The sequence below is a fragment of the Homo sapiens genome, chromosome 4, assembly GCF_000001405.40.
Source record: "Homo sapiens chromosome 4, GRCh38.p14 Primary Assembly".
In the NCBI taxonomy this organism is placed as follows: Eukaryota; Metazoa; Chordata; class Mammalia; order Primates; family Hominidae; genus Homo; species Homo sapiens.
In genome coordinates, this window is record NC_000004.12 from 55,001,153 (window position 1) to 55,011,408 (window position 10,256).

The window sequence follows — 10,256 nt, forward strand, 5'->3', positions numbered from 1 at the left end:
CTCCTCCTTCTAGATCTTGTTATGTTTATACTTCCTCATTTGTGTCTATGATTGTCTGAGTAACAACTGTCTCCTCTATCAGATAGGAACCTTCATAAGCAGGGACAGTGCCTGCTATTTCTCCCCATCATATACCTGGTGGCTTGCCTAGTAATGGCTGCACTGAAGGAGCTCAGTAGATACTTATTGAAGGGAAGACAGATTGATAAACAAGAAGATTGATATACAGTTAGAGAAAAGGGAGTGAGGAGAGAAGAGATCATTCTGAGATCTTTTAGACATGTTGAATTTGAGATTCAAAAGAGATATCTTAGGGGACATTTTTCAAGTGGATCTTTGGGGAAAAAGGGATTTCTAGACTACTATAAAATTGGGTAGGTAAGTCTGTTCTGCATATGTGTATAGTGGCTAACACATCTCAAGTATGTGTTTCCATAATGACATATTACATATGCAGTGGAGAAAACTGGCTTTGGGAAAAAAGTGATATTTGAAGATGGTTCTTCATTTCACATTGCTTGTGCCACTACTCATACATTCCTCTGACTTGTACAAATATTCAACACATTACCATGTGATCTAAATAGAGAGACAGATCTCTGAGGAGTTTCGTCAAGCCACCTGTCCTCTTACAGTTGCAGTATGAAACTGAGTAAGAGTGAACATCCAATCCACATTGGGAGAAGAAAATAATTTATGTCAAAGATGCAGTCTCCAGGTTCCCTTGGGTTCACTGTATATTCATAAGGGGGCTCCCCCCTACCCAGTATACATGTGAAAGTGTTCCTTGGTCCTATGCCATAATTCATATCAAGAGCTGATTAATTTTTCACAGTAAGCCTTTTAGTGTATATGGGTTTTTTTTTTTTTCAGTCTTGCTCTTTGGGGGTCAAGTGACCCAAGAAGGGTCTGGTGGCTAATATAGTGCAGGATTTAAGGAATTACACAAGTGCTGGAATGTTTCCACCAAGCTTCCTTGGTAACAGCGGCCAGGTGATAGGGAACATTTTATAAATTAAGCCGCTTTTGCCAGAAAAGGAAGTAGAACGGCCACTTCATTATAGTTAACTGTTTCTCTCCCAATAATAAGAAAAGTGAATGATATATGTCCTCTGTGTCTTGCCCAAACTCAGCTAAAAATAATAACTAATTCTGGGTCACACGGATCTCAGAAGAAACTAAATTATCCAGATTAGCAAATATAAACTGTGTTTGAAAAGGAAAAAGACAGGTAGTAGACATTTGTGGCTTTGTGCTTCCCGGAAGCCCTTATTTTGGTAATAGAACCCACATCTTCCCTGTGACAATTGCACCTTCCTTGTCACAGTTTCTGTGGTTTAATGAAGCATACCCAGACCCCCAGGGTGGGCACGTGGCCCAGGTCTGCCTACAGGGAGCTCTGAGTACCTGGCTAGAGAGGTCAGGTTAGGGATTGGCATAAATCTCACCAAGTTAGTCAGAAAGAATCCTGGGATCTGTAGCTGTCATCATTCCTGAGTAATTTCAGAGACATGTGGGCCCAACCTCATAAAACAGTTACATCACAAGGATACCTAGCAGCCCTTTGATCATTAAACACATAGTGACTTTAAACACAAGTGTTAGGGACAGATTTTTGTGTGCTCCTCAAATTCATATGTTGAAATCCTAACCCCCAAGCTGATGGTAATAGGAGGTGGGGCCTTTGGGTGGAAGGTGATTAGGACATGAAGGAGGAGCCCTCATGAATGGGATTAGTGCCCTTATGAGAAGAGACCCAAGAACTTGCTTCCTCTCTCTGTTCTCCACCATGTGAGACACAATGAGAAGACAGCCACCTACAAATCAGGAAGAAGGCCATCACCAGGAACCAAATAAGCTAGTACCTTGATCTTGGACTTCCCAGCCTCCACAACTATGGGAAATCAATTTCTGTTGTTTAAGCCACTCAATCTATGGTATTCTATTATAGCAAACTTTACCAACTAAGACAATAAGCTTCTTTGTATAATGTATACACAATTATTTGTGTATTTCTTTCCCCATCACTGAGCTATGGACCCAGGGAACAAAAGCCATATATATATATTTTAATCTCATATTCCCAGAAGACCTAGCACACATGTGCTTCACACATGAAGTCATTGGATACATACATCAAACTGAATCAGCTTCAGGTCTGCCGAGGCATAGGTGATGGATTCCCTAAAGCGGATGGACACAATGGCAAAACACTGTTCAGAGAGGTTCCCTGACCTATCCAAGGTTTCACTTAATAGATATATTATGAAGGAGATAACTTTATAAAAACCATTACTTCATTTGCTAAAGCCCTTCATGAGACAACTCCTTCAGAACTAAAAGCAAAATACTTCACTTGCTGAGGAAAAGGTATTTTTCCATTTGTGCATAATAAATGACCATGTTTCCTTCTCTGCTTTGACCACGAGGAAGCTCTGAGGCAAATTTACTGCTCAGTCATTGCAAGTGTGTAAGATCTTTTGGGTTTGCTCATCTCCCTTCCGCACTTGTTCTAATTTCATTTATCTGGTGCTGCTACTTAATTTTAAATTTGTATTTTATTATATGTATTTTCTATATATTCTTTGTAGAACAAGATATGTGATATTAATAGGCCAGTTATGGCTCAACTAATAACAGTTTGAAAGTACATGGATACCTGAGATAACAGTGCTGAGTGACTAGAACAAGGGGTTACATGCTTGGTTCTTATAAGGTAGGAGGCTTTGTTTTTCTAAAATGTAACTCCTGCTCTGGAGATGCTACTGGTGGTGAGAGCACTTCCCTGGGCTTCTGCCCTGACCAGTGATGAAATATTTACCCTCAGCAGGTTCTCTCTTCTAGTATAGGGTAGTGTTGCTTACTGTTCAACTCCACTTGGATTAATCAGTTAATGTGTGAAATCATTTTGAATATGAAAAGTTCTGGGTCAGGTACGCAGCAGTCATTGCTGTCTGAGTTACTATGCTAATCCTTGCCTTTGTGAGAGAGGAGTGTGCTTAAAGTCCTTCTATGAAACCATTCCTCTCAGGAGTCTGTCAAAGTCACCAGAAAAATAGGTAGATCCAGCCATTGGCAAAGAGGGACCCAACCTGGGCATCTGAATATGACTCAGAGAAACCAAACACGAGACATAGAAAGAGGTTGCAGGCAAGAATCTAGGGCTTGCAGGGGCACCAGACCATCAAGACTTCCAGGAGAAATTACGGAAACATCTGCAAGGTTAAGTCAGGAAGTCCAGGGGCTACTTCCCAGAGAGGGAAGTGCCTTTCTTGGGACTGCTGCTACAGAGCTGAAACGGTGCATAACCTGGGGCCAAGGAGGCTGATTGAAGATGAGGGATTAGACTCCAAGAAGGATCAAGAATCCATCAACTCAACTCCACTCCTTCAGCCACACCGAGGTGAGGACAAGCCTTGGGCTTTGGGACACAGTGAACTCTGCATTAACCAGGCCAAGAAGTGGCTCCATGTTAACTGCATTACAAGAAAGAATTTATGTTCAGCAAATCTCTTGACCACATTTGCTTCTGTTCCCTCCCAGCCTTTGCCAACCATGGCACTACAAAGAGCTAATCATCAAAAGATAAAGCAAATAGGTTTCATTGCTGAGTGATAATCAAACAGTTGCCAAAACTTTGCAATCTTAGTGCTTGGAAAATACAAGGTCTACAAAACCTCAGCTGAAGAACAGATAATTAGCCAGAAAAATCTAGGAGGGGCTTGGACTGCTTTGGGCATGAAAGGAATGTCTTTCTTCAACTCCACAGGGATGTGGTGAGGTAGGAGTGGGGTGGGGGCTGGACTATTGGATACTCACTGCAAGTTCTGCCAGCTTGGCAACACATCTCCTGCTTCTCTGGGCTGGCTCACCCAGCACAAATTCAACCCTTTGCTTGTTGCATATCCTTTTACATTTCCCCAGAGGGAGCTCACTCTCAGCCTTCCCACTTAGAATCACCACCCTTGGGACCCCAACACTTTAGATCCGTCCAGCATTGTTCAGCCTGACAGATGACCCAGCCTCCTGGTTTTCTTAAAATAACAAGAGAACATTTGCTCTCTGGAAATACAAGGTCGCATCCAAATTTAAAGAAGAAAAATAGGAGAGGAAAGCATTCAAACAAAACTCTTGGAATTGGGCTCCTGTGGTAACATTTGGAATAAAGGAAAACAGGAAAGCAATTGCAATATTAAAAATAGATGATTTCCTGCATGTAAATTCTTTGCTGACCTTGTTGATTGCAGCATGGTCCATGTTTGCTGGCTTGCCACCTTCTGACTTCATGAGAGTTCATACCAAGGGACAGTTCTCAGGGCTCAGAATTCAACCCCTAGTTAAAAAGCATTTGTTTACAAATCTGCCTATTGGCATCAACCCTTTTCTCTTTAATCCTTGATGCTTATCGGAGATTAATTATTTATCCTTTGTTTTATTCCTATGTGTCCAGGAGGAACGTACTGAATATCAAGAATACTTCAGAGGATCCTGGAGCAGACATGGTACCTCCACATAACACAGTGCACCTTGATGATATTAGCATCCACTGCCAATAAGCATAAAAGTAATCATGGGAAAGGTAATGCATTATCTGGCTGAAAGAGCATTCATCCCTCAATGGATACTTAATCAGCAGCCAGGCACTACTCTATGCTCTGGGGTCACACCCATGCCCTCAGCAACTTTATATGCTAGTTGGGTGAAATAAACAATAAACATAGTAAATAAGTTAGATAATATGCTATAAGATAGGTATATAAAAAAAGAAAAAGTAAAGTGGAGTAGGGGGATTGGGCAAGTAAGGTATTAAATACAATAGAGAAGGCCTTAGGAAAAAGGTAAAATTTGAGCACAGGTTTACTGTGAAGGGAGTAGCTAGGCAGATATGTTGATAAAGTTTCCAGCCTGGCACAGCAGCCTGAGCAAAGGCCCTGAGGCAGGACCATGATAATTAGTTGACAGCAAGATCTGGTGTCTCTCTCTTTCACTGTCAGGGAGGTCTGAGACAAGGCAGCAGTTAGTTATTCTCTGTGGGTAGCAGAGAGAGTGGCTTTGAAGCAGAAGGAGCAATGATGAAATGGTTTCGTTGATGAAAAAATGGGCAGCTTTTGGAATTGGGGTGAGCCGGAGTGAAAGGAAAGGTTAAAGGCTCAACAAAAGGGAACAGCTTCCAAGATTCCACTCTCTGGGTGGAGAATGAGACCTGGAATCCAAAGGGCACACCCAAGACAAATCAGCTGGAGACAAGGGGCCCCATCCCCGTGTTTTGAATCCCCTTGCAGTTACGAGTATGGCTCAGCGCTTTCTGAAGCTCTCCTGGAATCTGGCCTTGGCTCACAGAACTTTCAGACTGAATTGCTCCCTCTTGGCTTTGCTTGTTGCCTAATGCCCTTCTCTTGATCACCTTGGTCCTTGGAGTTCTCTTAACCATTTTCTGTTCAGGGCCACTCTGGAAATTAGATCTACCTAAGTGATGACCAACACCTCACAGAACTGACCCTCCCCCTCCCTCCATTGGGGCTGATGAATTTACTGTAATCATCTGTGAATTCAAACCCCATTGTTAAAGAGGAAGAGGCAGAGTCACATCTACCCCTTCCTCTTGGGGTAGATGCGTTTTTGAAAAAATGCACCTGGTGTTCAGGTGATTTTTCAAAATGCATTTGGCTTTCTCTCTCGTAGCCATTAGGGTTCTAGAATAAGAGAGGGTGAGCTAGAAGCTTGTGTATTTACAACCCCCATAGCTTCCCAGTTGATACGGTTTGGCTGTGTTCCCCCCAAATCTCACCTTGAATTGTAGTTCCCATAATCCCCACGTGTTGTGGGAGGGACCCAATGGGAGGTAGTTGAATCATGCTGTTCTGTGACAGTGAGTGAGTTCTCACAAGACCTGATGGTTTTATAAGGGGCTTTTCCCCCGTAGTTCAGCACTGCTCCTTCCCACCACCTTGTGAAGAAGGTGCCTTACTTCCCCTTCACCTTGTGCCATGATTGTAAGTTTCCTGTGGCCTCCCCAGCCATGCTGAACTGTGAGTCAACTCAGCCTCTTTCCTTTATAAATTACCCAGTCTTGGGCAGTTCTTTATAGGAGTGTGAGAATGGACTAATCCACCAGTGTTCTTGGGAGACAATCAACACTCCCCAGCAGCCTTCCTTCCTCTAGAGCTGTATCTTTCTGAGTCCCCTGTTTGCTTACTGAAGGCATTGACATTTCTCTAAGGGGCCCTCCTTTTTACTGCTTCCAAATGTATACACCTGCTGCCTTGCAATACTCTTCTGGCCCTCTCTTCACCTGGCTAAATCCTACGCACTCTTCAAGTCCCAGCTTAGTCAGTCCTCCTCAAGGAAAGATTTTTTAATCCCTCAGACTAAATTGGGCCACTGTACTTCCAGAACTTAGCATGGCAACTGGCACATAGTAAGTGCTCAGTAAACATTGATGCTTCATAAATTCATTTGATATACAAATGCATGAGTGAGGGAACAGAAAGAGAAGCTAAAATCAATGTGAGAAACAAAGTTTTTAATTGGAAGATCAAGATAACAAAAGTCCCTACCACAAAGAGAAGGAGAAGAGAATAAAAGACAATGGTACAATCTTTAAGGCCTGATGTGCTTTTGCTTAAGGCAGTATCAGGTCGATCAGGTCAATCACCTGAGAAAGCAATGGGGTTCCAGGGTATTCATCTTGTGGCTTAGTGTCAAGAAGTAATATTGTCAGCCATGTGAGCTGAGACTGCAATGAGCTGGATTTCCCCTGGCAGAAGGGGTAATAGGAGGACACAGCCAGGAAAATCAAGCACATAGTGAACACCCTGCTTGGAGGGGTGAAGAAACTATATTGCAAGAACACAATTTCAAGTTGTTGTTCTGTCTTGATTCATTGTGTATGACTTTGGACAAATCACTTAACCTTTGGAATTGCACTTCCTTTTTAAAAAAATAAAGATAGGGGTCTCCCTGTGATGCCCAGGCTGGTCTTGAACTCCTGGGCTCAAGCTATCCTCCCACCTTGGCCTCCCAAAAGCTGGGATTATAGGCATGAGCCACTGTGCTCAGCCGGAATTTCACTTTCATTGTCCAGAAAAATAAACTGTGGGACTACTATGCGGATATTGGGAGAAACATGAATATTAGCCAAGTTTACGTATGGCCCAAGGTCCAACACAATAGTGGTATTATTCATGATCCCCAACGCTATCCCCAGCTGTTCCCCAGTAAGAGTTTATTAGTCCCACTGCTATTTCCTGATTTGTTTCCATTCAGGAAGCTTCGAACTAATGGTTAGCAGAGGGGCACATTGCAAAAATAAAAATTCTCACTTTTAACTTTTCCATCCCCTTTAATCCCCACTGCCCAGCCTTCCTCTCTCCCCAGCGAGGGCTGGAGTTGTGCCATCCCCGTGATCAATCACACACTGGGGAGCGCCTCGTGGCGGGGTGGAGGCTGTGGGCAGGGGGAGAGCTGGCCCAGCACGTCTGTTGAGTATGATGTCCTTTCGTGATGCCCTTACAAACAGAAGCGAGGAAACAGGCCGTCATTTATCATGTGGCTTTGTAGTGGATGCTGATAATGCAGAACAGCCAGACCACTCTTGAGGTCGCTCCATTGAAGTACTTACTGAGTCAGCTGTCGGGAGCCAGTCGGAAAGGGAGGTTCCCCATATGACTTGCCTTACTGCCAGGGACCTCCCCGCAGTAACAACTGCCCACTCCTCGATGGAATGGAGCCTGCCATTTGCCCTCCGGAAGCCACCCAGCCTCCTGGGTTATGGGCATTGAAAGTTTTTGGCCTCTAGGGGGAGCTGAAGACCTCTCCCCATTCCAGCCCATTCACCCCACTCACCCCCCAACTCCCCAAGCCAGGCACACTATTGGGCAAGAGGGTGGAGCTTTTTGGTGAGATGGTGGCTGCATGGTCCTTGAACCATTCACTGTTGCAGGCGCCATTCTGTTTAGCCACACCTAGGTCACTTGCCTGCTCTTGGTTGGGTTACGAAGTAAGGTAGCTTTAGCCACATCCAAACTGCACAGACACGTTTCCAGAAGTGAGGGAAGGGGAAGTGTGATGGGCACTATAGCGACCACTGGCATGACGTCTTCTATTTCTCTGAATTTCCTCTACCCTTACCAGCACAACATCTAGCACCATGCTTTGGCCCAAAGCAGGGTTCAATCAATGAATTTACTGGCAAGAAAACACTTAAATCCACAAACGAACACATCGTGAAAGCCATGCAAGGGCAGAGCTCCCTGGAAGTACTCTTTTAAAAGGGGCTTTTTCTCCCCCAGGTACTCACCTAAGAAGATGTTGAGCCAAGAGAATGATATTGCTAAAAGGTCAGCCTCTCAACACAGCCACCCTCTCTCCTTTTGACCTTGGCTACTCTTTTCCATGTCATGACGGCCTCCGTGTTGCTAAGTTTGGTCCCATCTGACTTACCCCATCAGCAACATTTGACCCAGTTGATAACTTTCTTCTCCTTGAAACCTTTTCTTCTCTTGGCTTTTAGGACGTCACACTCACTTGGTTTTCCTCCTACCTCCCTGGTCATTCCTTCTCAGCTTCTTCTGCTGGTTGTCCTCATCCTTCCAATCCTTGATTGTTCAGTCCCCATGGATCAGTACTTGGGCCTCCTCATTCCTATGGACACTCACTCCCTGGGTGATCTCATCCAGGTTATAGATTTCATACTATCCGTGTGCTACAACTCCAACATGTGTGTCTCTAGCCTAAACCCCTTTCCTGAACTCCAGATCTTACATCAACCTTCCTGTCCGAAATGTCTACTGGAATGTCCAATAGACATCTCCAACCAATCTCATCCAAAACTGAACCCTTGATAACTCTCCCTCCACTACTACCAAAAAAAAAAACTCCTCCCATAATCCTCCCATAATCCAGTCACGCAGGCAAAAATCCATAGTGCTATTCTTGACTTCTCTCTTCCTCTTACACTCTACGTCTTGTCTGTCAGAAAATTCTATAGGCTCTATCTTCAAAAGATATTCAGAATTTAATACCACCTCCATTGCTACCACCCTACTTTTAACAAGTATCCCTCCTTCCTGACTTTGCTTCCTACCCCACCCTTATCCTCACAGCCCATTCTTAACATGTTAGCCAACTGATCCAATTAAAACGTCAGTCAGATCATGTTAATCCTCTGCTCCATAACCACAGTAGCTGTAAAAGCTGTGCCCTTGTGCCCTGTGTGGCCTATGTGATCTGCCTCTCACTCACTGTATCCCACTTACTAACACCCCTATTCTCTCTACTCCAGTCTCTTGGCCTCCTTGGTCAGATATTCCTGGCATGCCTCAACCCCAGGGCCTTTGCACTTGCCCTTTCCTCTTCCTGGCATGCTCTTCCCCTAAATATTCACACAATTCCCTCTCAACTCCTTTAAGTCTTTACTTGAAGGTCACTTTCTTAAGAGAAGTTTTTCCTGAAACTACATCTAAATTTCAACATGCCCACCCTTTGTGTCCCTCTTCCCTTCTTATTTTTTTCCTTTCCTTTTATCACTATAATTTGTATATTCTTTTAATATTATTATTGAATATAATATTATAGAATATTAATATTCTTTAAGGAATATTTGTTTAATATTTAATGTGTAATTTATTTAATTGATATTTAATTATATTCTTTTTACCTATTTTATCTTTTTTTCTTTTTGAGACAGGATCTTGCTCTGCCACTCAGTCTGGAGTGCAGTGGTGTGATCATAGCTCACTGCAGCCTCAACCTCCCAGACTCAAGCAACCCTCCCACCTCAGCCTCCTAAGTAGCTGGGAGTAGGTGCACACCACCATGCCTTGCTATACCTACTTTAGCTTGTATATTGCATCTTATCCAACTAGATTATATGCTCCATAAGGACAGGAATATTTTCATATGTTTTGATCATCAGGAGCAAATGTCAAAGTGTTAGAAACTACAATAGTGCTTTCACATATAAAAGAAAGCAAACAGTATAGCCTAATTGTACAGCTAAGATGTGAGTCTTTTGAAATCCACACTATTTGGCCTTGACTTCCAACTAAACTCAGTGATCAGGCAGGATGGATTTCCAAGTTTTGAGGCTAATTTTTGGTAGAGAGGCAGCCATGAAAATTTTCTACTCATGTCACTTCCTAGCTGAACAGTTTTCAATAGCTTCCCGTTGCCTCCACTGCCTTAAGGAGCGAAGTTTATACCTCCCTCATCCATACCTTTCTCAGGTGATCTCCTGCATCAGCAATACAAATGTC